The sequence below is a fragment of the Homo sapiens genome, chromosome 12 (genome assembly GCF_000001405.40).
Source record: "Homo sapiens chromosome 12, GRCh38.p14 Primary Assembly".
In the NCBI taxonomy this organism is placed as follows: domain Eukaryota; kingdom Metazoa; phylum Chordata; class Mammalia; order Primates; family Hominidae; genus Homo; species Homo sapiens.
In genome coordinates this window covers 58,217,443-58,233,608 of record NC_000012.12, presented here as the reverse complement: position 1 = coordinate 58,233,608, position 16,166 = coordinate 58,217,443, and the positions used below count along the sequence as shown (strand labels likewise).

Genomic DNA, 16,166 nt, shown 5'->3' with positions numbered 1-16,166 from the left:
TGAGAAGGAAAAGTCTGTACACCCAGCCATTCCTGCCCACCCCCACCCTTCATACTTCCCTGCAGAAAGTGAGAATCAACCAGTGAAAAAAAAAGGGAGGTTCCAGGCTTCTTAGGAAGTCACAGGCAGTGAGCACAATAGTTTAAAGCCTCAATTTGAAGTCAGACAGATGGATATCCACTTACTGGCTGTGTGAACCTCAGCAAGTCACAACTTCTCTGATCCTTGCATTTTGCCTATAAAATAGAAAGACTACCAGTACCACCCTTACAGGGTTGTTGGAAAGAAGAAAAGAGATGATGAAAGAAAAAGAGCCTGGCCCAGTGAGCCCTGTGGTGGACTTCTATTATTAGCTGGAACTCTAGATGAAAACAGAGGTCAGCTACCCAATCCTCTACTGCATTCAGATAATGGAAGACACAAACCCTCCCAACCCCAGTGTGTGCATGCATGCCTGTGTGTGTATAAGTAGAAAAATTCCATTCTCAAACTGATTATTGTTTTCTTATAAGACAAAACGCGGAGGTGGAGCCAAGATGGCCGAATAGGAACAGCTCCAGTCTACAGCTCCCAGCGTGAGCAATGCAAAAGACGAATGATTTCTGCATTTCCAACCAAGGTACCGGGTTCATCTCACTGGGGATTGCCGGACAGTGAGTGCAGGATAGTGGGTGCAGTGCACCGAGCATGAGCCGAAGCAGGGCGAGGCTTGCCTCACATGGGAAGTGCAAGGGGTCAGGGAATTCCCTTTCCTAGCCAAGAAAAGGGGTGACAGATGGCACCTGGAAAATTGGGTCACTCCCACCCTAATACTGCGCTTTTCCAGTGGTCTTAGCAAACGGCACACCAGGAGATTGTATCCCACGCCTGGCTCAGAGGGTCCTACGCCCACAGAGCCTTGCTCATTGATAGCATAGCAGTCTGAGATCAAACTGCAAGGCGGCAGAGGGGCTGGGGGAGGGGCGCCCACCATTGCCAAGGCTTGAGTAGGTAAACAAAGTGGCCAGGAAGCTCAAACTGGGTGGAGCCCACTGCAGCTCAAGGAGGCCTGCCTGCCTCTGCAGGCTCCACCTCTGGGGGCAGGGCATAGCCAAAGAAAAGGCAGCAGAAACCTCTGCAGACTTAAATGTCCCTGTCTGACAGCTTTGAATAGAGTAGTGGTTCTCCCAGCATGCAGCTTGAGATCTGAGAACGGGCAGACTGCCTCCTCAAGTGGGTCCCCGACCCCCAAGTAGCCTAACTGGGAGAAACCCCCCAGTAGGGGCAGACTGACACCTCACACGGCTGGGTACTCCTCTGAGACAAAACTTCCAGAGGTAAGATCAGGCAGCAACATTTGCTGTTCACCAATAGCCACTGTTCTGTAGCCTCCACTGCTGATACCCAGACAAACAGGGTCTGGAGTGGACCTCCAGCAAACTCCAACAGACCTGCAGCAGAGGGTCCTGACTGTTAGAAGGAAAACTAACAAACAGAAAGGACATCCACACCAAAAACACATCTGTACGTCACCATCATCAAAGACCAAAGGTAGATAAAACCACAAAGATGGGGAAAAAACAGAGCAGAAAAACTGAAAATTCTAAAAACCAGAGCACCTCTCCTCCTCCAAAGGAACACAGCTCCTCACCAGCAATGGAACAAAGCTGGATGCAGAATGACTTTGACGAGTTGAGAGAAGAGGGCTTCAGACGATCAAACTACTCCGAGCTAAGGGAGGAAGTTCAAACCCATGGCAAAGAACTTAAAAAACTTGAAAAAAGATTAGATGAATGGCTAACTAGAATAACCAATGCAGAGAAGTCCTTAAAGGACCTGATGGAGCTGAAAACCATGGCACGAGAACTACGTGATGAATGCACAAGACTCAGTAGCCGATTCAATCAACTGGAAGAAAGGGTATCAGTGATGGAAGATCAAGTGAATGAAATGAAGTGAGAAGAGAAGTTTAGAGAAAAAAGAATAAAAAGAAACGAACGAAGCCTCCAAGAAATATGGGACTATGTGAAAAGACCAAATCTACTTCTGATTGGTGTACCTGAAAGTGACGGGGAGAATGGAACCAAGTTGGAAAACATTCTGCAGGATATTATCCAGGAGAACTTCCCCAATCTAGCAAGGCAGGCCAACATTCAAATTCAGGAAATGCAGAGAATGCCACAAAGATACTCCTCGAGAAGAGCAACTCCAAGACACATAATTGTCAGATTCACCAAAGTTGAAATGAAGGAAAAAATGTTAAGGGCAGGCAGAGAGAAAGGTCCGGTTACCCACAAAGGGAAGCCCATCAGACTAACAGCTGATCTCTCGGCAGAAACTCTACAAACCAGAAGAGAGTGGGGGCCAATATTCAACATTCTTAAAGAAAAGAATTTTCAACCCAGAATTTCATATCCAGCCAAACTAAGCTTCATAAGTGAAGGAGGAATAAAATAATTTACAGACAAGCAAATGCTGAGAGATTTTGTCACCACCAGGCCTGCCCTAAAAGAGCTCCTAAAGGAAGCTCTAAACATGGAAAGGAACAACTGGTACCAGCCACTGCAAAAACATGCCAAATTGTAAAGACCATCAAGGCTAGGAAGAAACTGCATCAACTAACGAGCAAAATAACCAGCTAGCATCATAATGACAGGATCAAATTCACACATAACAATATTAACCTTAAATGTAAATGGGCTAAATGCTCCAATTAAAAGACACAGACTGGCAAATTGGATAAAGTGTCAAGACCCATCAGTGCGCTGTATTCAGGAAACCCATCTCACCTGCAGAGACACACATAGGCTCAAAATAAAGGGATGGAGGAAGATCTACCAAGCAAGTGGAAAACAAAAAAAGGCAGGGGTTGCAATCCCAGTCTCTGATAAAACAGACTTTAAATCAAAGATCAAAAGAGACAAAGAAGGCCACTATATAATGGTAAAGGGATCAATTCAACAAGAAGAGCTACCTATCCTAAATATATATGCACCTAATACAGGACCACCCAGATTCACAAAGCAAGTTCTTAGAGACCTACAAAGAGACTTAGACTCCCACAGAATAATAATGGGAGACTTTAACACCCCACTGTCAACATTAGACAGATCAATGAGACAGAAAGTCAACAAGGATACCCAGGAATTGAACTCAGCTCTGCACCAAGAGGACCTAATAAACATCTACAGAACTCTCCACCCCAAATCAACAGAATATACATTCTTTTCAGCACCACACCACACCTATTCCAAAACTGACCATATAGTTGGAAGTAAAGCAGTCCTCAGCAAATGTAAAAGAACAGAAATTATAACAAACTGTCTCTCAGACCACAGTGCAATCAAACTAGAACTCAGTATTAAGAAACTCACTCAAAAGCGCTCAACTACGTGGAAACTGAACAACCTGCTCCTGAATGACTACTGGGTACATAACGAAATGAAGGCAGAAAGAAAGATGTTCTTTGAAACCAACAAGAACAAAGACACAACATACCAGAATCTCTGGGACACATTCAAAGCAGTGTGTAGAGGCAAATTTATAGCACTAAATGCCCACAAAAGAAAGCAGGAAAGATCCAAAATTGACACCCTAACATCACAATTAAAAGAACTAGAGAAGCAAGCGCAAACACATTCAAAAGCTGGCAGAAGGCAATAAATAACTAAGATCAGAGCATAACCAAAGGAAATAGAGACACAAAAAAACCTTCAAAAAATCAATGAATCCAGGAGCTGGTTTTTTGAAAACATCAACAAAATTGATAGACTTCTAGCAAATAATAAAGAAGAAAAGAGAGAAGAATCAAAAGGACACAATGAAAAATGATAAAGGGGATATCACCACCTATCCCACAGAAATACAAACTACCATCAGAGAATACTATAAACACCTCTACGCAAAGAAACTAGAAAATCTAGAAGAAATGGATAAATTCCTCGACATATACATCCTCCCAAGACTAAACCAGGAAGAAGTTGAATCTCTGAATAGAACAATAACAGGCTCTGAAATTGAGGCAATAATTAATAGCTTACCAACCAAAAAAAAAAATCCAGGACCAGATGGATTCACAGCCAAATTCTACCAGAGGTACAAGGAGGAGCTGGTACCATTCCTTCTGAAACTATTCCAATCAATAGAAAAAGAGGGAATCCTCCCTAACTCATTTTATGAGGCCAGCGTCATCCTGATACCAAAGCCTGGCAGAGACACAATAAAAAAAGAGAATTTTAGACCAATATCCCTGATGAACATCGATGCAAAAACCCTCAATAAAATACTGGCAACTGAATCCAGCAGCATATCAAAAAGTTTATCCACCATGATCAAGTGGGCTTCCTCCCTGGGATGCAAGGCTGGTTCAACATACACAAATCAATAAACGTAATCCAGCATATAAACAGAACCAATGACAATAACTACATGATTATCTCAATAGATGCAGAAAAGGCCCTTGACAAAATTCAACAATGCTTCATGCTAAAAACTCTCAATAAATTAGGTATTGATGGGACGTATCTCAAAACAATAAGAGCTATCTATGACAAACCCACAGCCAATATCATACTGAATGGGCAAAAACTGGAAGCATTCCCTTTGAAAACTGGCACAAGACAGGGATGCCCTCTCTCACCGCTCCTATTCAACATAGTGCTGGAAGTTCTGGCCAGGGCAATCAGGCAGGAGAAGGAAATAAAGGGTATTCAATCAGGAAAAGATGAAGTCAAATTGTCCCTGTTTGCAGATGACATGATTGTATATCTAGAAAACCCCATCGTCTCAGCCCAAAATCTCCTTAAGCTGATAGGCAACTTCAGCAAAGTCTCAGGATATAAAATCAATGTGCAAAAATCACAAGCATTCTTATACACCAATAACAGACAAACAGAGAGCCAAATCATGAGTGAACTCCCATTCACAATTGCTTCAAAGAGAATAAAATACCTAGGAATCCAACTTACAAGGGATGTGAAGGACCTCTTCAAGGAGAACTACAAACCACTGCTCAAGGAAATAAAAGAGGACACAAACAAATGGAAGAACATTCCATGCTCATGGGTAGGAAGAATCAATATCGTGAAAATGGCCATACTGCCCAAGGTAATTTATAGATTCAATGCCATCCCCATCAAGCTACCAATGACTTTCTTCACAGAATTGGAAAAAACTACTTTAAAGTTCATATGGAACCAAAAAAGAGCCCGCATCGCCAAGTCAATCTTAAGTCAAAAGAACAAAGCTGGAGGCATCATGCTACCTGACTTCAAACTATACTACAAGGCTACAGTAACCAAAACAGCATGATACTGGTACCAAAACAGAGATATAAACCAACAGAACAGAACAGAGCCCTCAGAAATAATGCCACATATCTACAACTATCTGATCTTTGACAAAACTGACAAAATCAAGAAATGGGGAAAGGATTCCCTATTTAATAAATGGTGCTGGGAAAACTGGCTAGCTGTATGTAGAAAGCTGAAACTGGATCCCTTCCTTACACCTTATACAAAAATTAATTCAAGATGGATTAAAGACTTACATGTTAGACCTAAAACCATAAAAACCCTAGAAGAAGACCTAGGCAATACCACTCAGGACATAAGCATGAGCAAGGACTTCATGTCTAAAGCACCAAAAGCAATGGCAGCAAAAGCCAAAATTGACAAATGGGAGCTAATTAAACTAAAGAGCTTCTGCACAGCAAAAGAAACTACCATCAGAGTGAACAGGCAACCTAAAAAATGGGAGAAAATTTTTGCAATCTACTCATCTGACACAGGGCTAACATCCAGAATCTACAATGAACTCAAACAAATTTACAAGAAAAAAACAAACAACCCCATCAACAAGTGGGCAAAGGATATGAACATACACTTCTCAAAAGAAGACATTTATGCAGCCAAAAGACACATGAAAAAATGCTCATCATCACTGGCCATCAGAGAAATGCAAATCAAAACCACAATGAGATACCATCTCACACCAGTTAGAATGGCAATCATTAAAAAGTCAGGAAACAACAGGTGCTGGAGAGGATGTGGAGAAATAGGAACACTTTTACACTGTTGGTGGGACTGTAAACTAGTTCAACCATTGTGGAAGTCGGTGTGGCGATTCCTCAGGGATCTAGAACTAGAGATACCATTTGATCCAGCCATCCTATTACTGGGTATATACCCAAAGGATTATAAATCATGCTGCTATAAAGACACATGCACACATATGTTTATTGCAGCACTATTCACAATAGCAAAGACTTGGAACCATCCAAATGTCCAACAATGATAGACCGGATTAAGAAAATGTGGCACATATACACCATGGAATACTATGCAGCCATGAAAAAGGATGAGTTCATGTCCTTTGTAGGGACATGGATGAAGCTGGAAACCATCATTCTCAGCAAACTATCGCAAGGACAAAAAACCAAACACCACATGTTCTCACCCATAGGTGGGAATTGAACAATGAGAACACATGGACACAGGAAGGGGAACATCACACACCAGGGCCTGTCCTGGGGTGGGGGGAGGGGGGAGGGATAGCATTAGGAGATATATCTAACGTTAGATGATGAGTTAATGGGTGCAGCACACCAACATGGCACATGTATACATATGTAACAAACCTGCACATTGTGCACGTGTACCCTAAAACTTAAAGTATAATAAGAAAGAAAGAAAGAAAGAAAAAGAAAAAGAGAAAACACTCCCCAGAGCCACAAGCACCTTAATGTCATTCTGGAGAAGAGTTCAAAATAAAACCACCACTTAGTTTAAAAAAAAAAAAAAAGGAGATAGAAAAAAATTAAGAATTTATTCTTGTGGAAATTTGGCATCCAAAGCACAGGAATAGTAAAAGCTAAGTTGACAGAAGTAGAATTCTCAGGATGTGAAAAGTGGATATGCACTCTTTTCTGCTAAAGAGGCACTATGCTTAGTACCCTGGTTTAACTCTTAAGGACCTCTATGTTTACAACCAATATGTGCTTTCACCACATACAGTCTCTCTCTCACACACACACACACACACAGAGGCCCATATCCAGCTCACACCTGTTCACTGTATTACTTTCACTGTATTACTTTGTGTTTCAATGTATTACTTTGTATTTCATTGTAACACTTTGTAGTTCAATGTATCACTTTTGCCATTACTTTCAATGACAAAAACTGCAATTACTTTTTCACCAACCTAATATTATTTGGAATACCAGATGTCATGGGTCTCCAGAACGCACCAAGTGAGGCCAGAGAGCACTAAGAAGACCAAATGTGCAGGAGGAGTACAGAGAGACCAGCAGTCACAGGAGCGGCGGTATGATGGTATCAAGGCTGCATAGGAGGATCAGGGCTGGGCAATTCACCTTGGGAAGTGGGGGCAACAACTCTGTTTAGAGCAAACTAGGACTATGGGTCTAGAACCCATTCCTATAGATGGAGGCCTAAGGGGCTTTGTATAAGGCCCCATTTAACTCATAGGTTCCTTCACAAACACCTCTGGCCATGACTTGAGGAGCTCAGTACCTAGAGTTTGAATCTCACTGTGTCTTGGCTTTTTTTCTTTTTAAAGTACCCACGGCTAAAGCACTTTAGAAAATTTAAATAACCCAAGAATGACTACCCATGAAAATTCAAAAACGCTACTTCAGCCTACTCTTCAGAAATAGTTGTATTCAAAGAACTAAAATGCAAATGGTCACTAACAAGTATTTCTCCAAAGAGCCTAGTGTTTGACTGAATGCTATATTTTTCAAGAAATTTTATCTGTGTGTAGACAGAGCTTTGGTCTTGTTTACATAAAGCATTCAAACATTTTGACAAATTAACTGTCATCTGCCAAGCCAAAGTCCAAGAACTTCCTCAGGGAAGAAGTTGGACACAATTAGCAGCTTAACAAAACACAGCTGCAATACAGAAAGTACCTTAATTCTAATCCCCTTAGGCTTTCAACAGAGGAAAAAAAAGAATGCAACCAAAAACATCCCAAGGGTCCCTAATATTGAGGTCACAATATTAAAGGGAAGTTTCTGACAGGTCCTGGAAACACCTGCCATATCAGAGGAATACTGACAGCCCACATCCCCATTCAATACACAGCAACTTTGCTCTTCTCCTGAACCTTAGTCTGTGGTTTGAATTCATGATTTACTTAGTTAACATTCCTAACATACCCTTTCCCAGACAAGGTGAATATATCAGTGTAGTCCATCCATGAGAAGAAACTATTGATTTTTATTATATTTTTATTATGGAAAAGCAGACTTGGTGAATTGTACACTTGGATTTAATTACTTTGGTCAGCAGTCCAATGACTTCAAGGATAAAGCTGGAAGAGACATCTATAGCAAATAAGTGGAAAATATCCAGCAGCTCTGACTTACTCTAGTAGGGTATGACCTCAATTCAGCTGGAGTCAGATTTTACCTTCAGTGCTGTTTTTATGAGTCTGTTTGAGGAATGAAGAATCAATTATTAAAAGATCTTAAACTTGGAATGAAAAATCACAACTTAACATAGTGATTTTGGCTTTTATATACTGAAACCTGTTAAAGCTAAAAGAGTCCTTTGAAATCATCTCATCCAGTTCTTTCATTTTACAGATGAGGAAGGTGGGATCCAAGGAGCATTGACGACTTGCCCAAGGTCACTTCTTTCCTTAGAGACGCTCTTTCCAGTACACAACAGGGACTTCAGATTGAAATTTCCTAAGTAAAATGCCATTCCCAGGGCACCCCTTTACTGTTGTACTAAATGACCACAGGCTCTGACATATTGGCTTCACCTTTTTCTACTAAAGAGCTACTATGCTCATACCCTGGTTTACCCGTTAAGGACTTCTGCATTACAACCAAGTTGTGCTCACAGTCTTGGCAAAGCAGTGGGTTAGAATTTGAATGTCATTGTTCCCATAGAAACAAGTTAGAAGTGGAGGGCTGGTGCCAAGACAACTCATAGAAATATATTTAAATTACTATAAAACTGCAATACAATTTACTATATTATAGAAAATATAGTAAAAAGCAATATTTTTGCAATTCTCATGATTAACAATTCAGAGAAAACAGAAAAACAATCTATTCCAAAGTAAACTTTCAGATTTCCGTTATCTTGAATGTTGATAGTTAAAGAAAAGAAGTTTTAATAAGTATTCATTTAACAAGAATATCCTCGTTTCCACCAGATTGACAGCCTGCCACCAAGAAGCTACAGAAGCCTGGAGGGGTGGGGGGATGACAAGAAAACAGAATGAGAAGCCTAGAGATATGCCCTAACCACTAAAGAAGTCGAGGTGACTTCTAATTCTACAAAATGAAGAAAGGAATATCACCCCAGACAGGAGATAGAAACATGTTGAAGTTATTCTGATGAGAATTGGAGTACTCTCGGGGACTAATTATTTCTCATTTCACTTGAGAATGCAGAGCTTCCCTTTTTGCTTCATACAGATATTTCACCAGCATTGTTGATGCTCCTCAGTCATAACAAAGGTTGTACTTAGCTATGAATGAAAGGGCAAAAAAGGAGCAAAAGAAGAAAAGGTAACTGAGGAAGAACTGAAAAGAAGACAGGACCACCCAGCTCGGATACCATGCATTTGCCCTCTCTGCAGGAAGCCAGGTTCTTCATTCGTTTATAGTTTAATCTTCCAGAGCACAGTGTGCAGCATGTATTAGTATTCAGCAAATGTTTATTTGTTTGGGTTAAAAGTCATAAGATTCCACAGTGAGATACTACTCCACACCCACAAGGATGGCTGTAATCAAAAAGACAGATAATAACAAGTGTGAGTATAAGGGGATATGGAAAAAGTGGGACCGTCATACACTGCCGGTGGGAATGTAAAGTGGTGTGGGCTCTTTGGAAAACAGTTTTTCACTTCCCCAAAATGTTACACAGAGAGTTACCAAATGACCCAGCAATTCCACTCCTATAAATATATCCAAAAGAAATAAAAATAAAAATGTGTACCTCAATGCTCTTAGTAGCATTATTTAAAATAGCCAAAGAGTGGAAACAACCAAATGCCCATCAACTAATGAATGGATAAATGAAATGTGCTTTATCTATACAACATAATATGATTAGACCATTAAAAAGAATGAAGTACTGATACATGCTACCACTTAGATGAACCTGAAAATGTTAAGTCAGAGAAGCAAGTTACAGATCACATATGGTATGATTTCATTTATATGAAATGTCCAGAATAGGAAAATCTTTAGAGACAGAAAGTAGATTAGTGTTTGCCTAGGGCCGGGGGTTTGGGGGAAATGGAAAATGACTGCTAATGAGTACAGGGTTTCTTTGGGGGATAATGAAATGTTCTAAAGTTAATCATGGTGGTGGTTATATGACTCTGTGACTATACTATAAACCATCCAACTCTACACTTTAAATGGTGAACTATATGGTATGTAAATTACATTTTAATGAACTTTTTAAAAAAGTCACAAAGTTACTATACCTATGAAATTCCTTTACCCATTTATTCAACAAATATTTTAAGTCCCTACTCTGTGCCAAGTATGTTAGAGGCCTGTACAAAATGATAAACACAACAAAATTCCTGCCTGCTCTCAAGGCATTTATACTTTAAGGAGATGGGGAACAGACAATAAGTAAAATCTCAAGGAACTAGATAAACACAGTGAATTTAACACAGGCCCTTTGGTATGCCACCCTCTCCCAAATTCCAGTAAAGTGACTGCCAAGGACTTAAAAGGTCTAAAAAGAAGAGACAAACAGAACAAAACAGAAAATAACCCCAGAAAAGCCATGACAACAAAAATTTTAACTACGGAAAACTGATAAGTAGTATCTGATTTAGAAGAGCTGAGAAATATGAAACCCAATTGCTTACAGTGTGAAAAGTAATAAGAAGCAAGTTTCAAAGCCCCAGAAAGTCTTGGGATGGAAGCACAGGGCATCTCTTAAGGTTGAGCTTCAGGGGGGTACTGAAAACAGGAGCTGGGTTGAAAGTTGAAGGAGCAGTGAGACAGCCATCTCTAGATTTCATTCCCCAGGCTTCCACTTCTCCTCCTCTGGCCAGGAAACAGGAGTTTACGCTTTGCAGAGGTTGAAGCAGAGAGAGTCTGGACTTAGGGACAAAATCTGGAGCAGGGCAGAGACACTATATCGAAAATGGGTGTTGAGTAAAAGTAGGCATACTGAACAGCGAGGTCCCAGTTCCCTTCCCCTGATCAGCCCCCAGAACCTTGGCAGTTGGCCTCAAACATCCCAGGCAAAGGCTGGATGATTCCTTTCTGGGGAAAATGAGCCCACCAATAGAAAAGAACTACAGATACTGTCATTAGTGGGTGTCCCAATAAAACCATAGGTAATCTATCAGTTAGCAAACTCTGCCCATACAAGCATAACTGCCAATTTGAGTTTTAGTGCCTCACCCCTAAAGTAATGATACAGAAATCTTAGGCATAAATAGATAGCCAAAGATCATAGGATATTTAAGTAAATTGTCTATCATAGAAGACAGAAATCAAACACGAAACAGGGAAAACCTGGAAGAAGTTTAAACAATTCAGGGGACAGAAAAAAACTTTTTAAAAAAATTCATAATGAATAGCTTCAAAGAAATAAGGGAAGATATCACATCCATTAATAGAACAAATCACTACAGAAAAACATTCAGGGAATAAGAAAGTGTTCTTTAGAAATTACATATATTAAAGCTAAAATGTTAAAATATCAAAGATTTGAAGACAACATTAGGAAACTCTCCCTGAAAGAAAAACAAAAGCTGAAGAGATGGAAAATAGCTGATAAAAGATAAAGAAATTAGTGAATCAATCCAGGACTAACAGAAGTTGTAGACAGAGCAAGCAGAGAAAATGGCAGAAAGGAAAGTATTTGAGAAATAAGTTACATAAAAGATATTCTAAGAACTGAAGAACATAAATCACCAGATTGAAAAGGCCCAGCAAATGCGTTGTGCAATTAGTAGAAAAGACCTCCATTAAGGCACATCCAATGAAGTTTCAGAACACAAGGGAAGAAGGGGAGTTATTTATAAAAGGTCAGGAATCCAGATGACAGAATTTCAACAGCCATACTGGAACTCAGTAACTTCAGAGTTCTGAGGGGCAGTACATCCAATCTAGAATTTTATAACTAACTAAAATATCAAGAATGAAGGTAGATTACAGACATGTAACATCACAGATATAATAGTGCCTTTCATACACTGTTCTTAAGATATTAAAAGATGTACTTCGCTGAAATGAAGACATAAACAATAAAGATGGCAATGGAATTTAGAAAACAAAAATTCCAACCTAGGAAAGAAGTAAAGGAAATATCCAGAATGATAGGAAAGGTAGTCCCAGAACCACAACTGACCAACAACACAGACTGGGCAGGAAAAGAGAGGACTCCATCATGGAGAGTTCCAAGCTGGGGAGAGAAAAAAAATGAGTTAAAAGAGTGCCTGATGTATTTGCCTATTCTGAGAGGACATTTGTAGGTTTTGCTTTGTTTTGTTTTGTTTTGTTTTTTCCCCCAGACATTTAGAGGCTAAATTAGGGGATAAATCAAATGAAACAAAAAAAGCAAAGCTCATGCTTCTGTAAGAAAGGAAATCTGGTCTTTACATTTTGAAGATCAGTTATGAAACAATATTTACAAAATCATCAGGTAAGATTATTTAGAATTTTGAAAGAAAATACAAGAAATCTAAGTATATGCCTCTAAGGAAAAGGCATGAGGAAGAATGGAGGAGAGAATGAGAGGATTACCATTTTTTGACCTAGATCTTGTATTACTGTTTAGCTTTTTAAACTATGTGTGCATATTTACTAAAAACAAAAATCAAGTTTAAAAATCAAGTAAATGAAAAACAAGACAAAAGTTTCAAATTGGGGTGTTGAAAAGGAAATAATGAAGATGATTTGAAGGTAAGTAAGTGGGAATGAATAATCCTATGTTAAATAGGATGATCAGGGAAGAACCCTCAAAGGGGTAATGTTTGAGCTGAGACAAGAAAGATGAAAGGATTCAACCATGACACAAGCCTGGGGAAAGAGTTCCAGGAAGCTGCAATAGCCAGTGCTAAGGTGCTGAAACTGGAATGCACTCAGAGTGTTTGAGAACAGAAAGGAGCCCAGCACAGCTGGAGCTTAGAGAGGAGGGCCAAGTGGTGAGGAATGAAGAGGAAGAGGTAGGCAGAAGCCATAGCATAGAGGAGCTCAGTAGCCAAGGAGAGCAGTTTCTATTTTATTAAAAATGTGATGGGAAGTCACTAAAAGTTTTCAAGCAAGTGGAGTGAATTGAATTAACATTGAGACAATTGCTCTGGCTGCTCTGCAGAGAATGGAAAATGGAGCAAGAGAGTTGAAGCTGGTAGAATAATTCAATGCTATTACCATAATTCTAATAGGTGAAGATGCTACTTGGACAGTGAAGACAAAAAAATGGAGTTGGATTTGAGATATGTCTTGAAAGTAGAACCAATGGGACTTGCTGAATGATTGACTGTAGGGCATGAGGAGAGAGACAAATCAAAAATGACCATTAGATATTTTAGCGGAGCACTTAAGTGGAAGATGTACCATTTACTCAGATGAAGATGCAGTGCGGTGGAGGACGAAAGCTTTAGGGATGGGGGTAAGGCATTAGGAATCAAGTATTCCATTTTGGATGGGTTAAGTCCAATACGCCTGTAAGATATCCAAGTGTCCAAGATGAGTACCAAGTAAAATTGTTTATATAAGTTTGGAATGGAGATACAGATCTGGGAGTCATAAGCACATAGATGGTGTTGAAAGCCATGGAACTAGGAGAAGAGAGCCAAGATCCAAGCCCGGAAGCATTAAGAGGTGAACCAAGGGCCTTTTACCGGACACTGGATAACAGACTTGCTCACAGTAAGCAATTATTTATGGAATGGAATTGGCTAAGACATATTAGACCCAGCACTTAAACAGAATACATTCATAGCTGTTCAAAGCTACTCAAGGAATTTGAGGACAGAAGAGCCTGAGATGAGATGTAAAGGCGTAGTCAGCAACGAAATGGCCATTTGCTTAAGAATGTGGGAGAATTTAAACATTAGATTTTCACAGAGAATTCCTGTGAAAGAGAATGAAAATGGAACATTATTCTTTACTCGATATTTTATTATACAGAAAGGAAAACTGTGATGCCATGTTGTCTTTGGAAATTATTTAATCTTTTTAATCCTTGATTTCCTCATCTATAAAATGGGAATAATAACAATATTTACCTCAGTTCATGAGGAATAGAAGTACATGTAACAGGCTTAACCCAGTGGCTGGCCCATAGTCAGCACTCAATAAATATTGCCTATCACAATAATCATTATCATCAGTATCATTTCTCATGGACAATGCAAAATGCTTCATAGGCATCTGAAAATATTTATTCTTAATTTATTGGACAAATATATAAATTGTATAAAAATTGATTATTCGATCATTCCAGGCATGTATAGACCACTTCTTTTTAATTTATTTAATCCATTAGTTTCTGAACAAGATGTATTAAAGTGTTCTAATATGAATCTTCTTATATTTCTAATAGCTTTTGCAAATATTGTTTTAAAGTCTTCTTTTGGACGTTAATTTTGCTGGTGAAATATGTCATTCTACAAAAGTTTTAAATCATTCTTTCATGCTTCTACTTTTAATGCCATGCTAAGCCTTCTTCATTCAATATAAGAAAAGTATTTCTCTTTCATCTTTCCATATTTTTTTTTTTTTTTTTTTTTTTTTTGAGACGGAGTCTCGCTCTGTCGCCCAGGCCGGACTGCGGACTGCAGTGGCGCAATCTCGGCTCACTGCAAGCTCCGCTTCCCGGGTTCACGCCATTCTCCTGCCTCAGCCTCCCGAGTAGCTGGGACTACAGGCGCCCGCCACCGCGCCCGGCTAATTTTTTGTATTTTTAGTAGAGACGGGGTTTCACCTTGTTAGCCAGGATGGTCTCGATCTCCTGACCTCATGATCCACCCGCCTCGGCCTCCCAAAGTGCTGGGATTACAGGCGTGAGCCACCGCGCCCGGCCCATCTTTCCATATTTATATGTATATCTGTGACACAGTAAGTGAGCCAAAGATCTGAACAGACACCAAAGACAAAAAGTTGGAGCAATTATAGAATTCACCCCATCTGGGGTGGGTGCAGTGGCTCAGACCTGTAATGCCAACACTGGGAGGCCAAGGCAGGAGGATCGCTTGAGACCAAGAGTTCAAAACTAGCCTGGGCAACATAGCAAGATCATCTCTACGAAAAATAATAATAATAATCCAATGTGGTAGTGGTCACCTGTAGTCCTAGCTACTCGAGAGGCTGAGGCAGGAAGATCACTTGAGCTCAGGAGTTTGAGGCTTCCATGAGCCATGATCACACCACTGTGCTCCAACCTGGGCAACAGTGTGAGACCCTACCTCAAACAAACAAACCAAAACAGAATTTACTTCATCTTTTCCCTGTTTTTCCAGGATCCCTGAACTTTGCTGTCTGATGTCCAGTCTTGAAAGCTGACCCACATATGTTTCTAACACACTTAATGTAAATGAGAATGTGCTAAATATATTGTATAATTTCATTTTTATATACAATATACATGCATAAATACATACATACTAATAAATGTGCACATATGTTTCTAAGTGCATTGAAAATAAACAGAAATGATATATACCAAATTACTAACAATGCTTACCCTCATGAGTGAAAGAATAAAAGTGAAGCAGGGATCACTTTTTATTTTACTTCATATATCCCTTCAAGGCATTAATTTTCTATAGTGTTCATATATTACCTTTATAAATTATTGTAAAATAATAAAAAGTGTCAATAAGAATGTCTTGACTCATTCTCCCTGACTACCCCTCTTCAACTCAGTAAGCTGTGTTGAAGCAGAGGTGTTTGTCTGTGACTGACTGGCTCACATATCAGTTCAAATGACATTGTTTCCTTCACATTGTGATTTCTTGTTAAGGTTTCTTAGACTTTATCTGTCTCCCATGTTTTGAAAAGCTCATCATTTAATTCAAATAATATGAGAATGAGGACAATTTAAATCAACAAATATATGATTTTAAATTCAGTTTGAGAAAAATAACTCTATCAACCATAATTTGAAATATAGCTATGGATATTACCATCTCCATTGAAACTTTCTTGCTGGTAGAAGAGCTGT

At 39.5% G+C, this 16,166-nt stretch overlaps 1 annotated feature.

Moving 5' to 3' along the window:
• Positions 1–170: an enhancer, noted in NCBI's record as "experimental_29986 CRE fragment used in MPRA reporter constructs". NCBI's record gives its function as "activates a minimal promoter by MPRAs in K562 erythroleukemia cells, with activity observed for the introgressed 12:58627307 variant allele {active_cell/tissue: K562}" and the evidence as "EXISTENCE:reporter gene assay evidence [ECO:0000049][PMID:34662402]".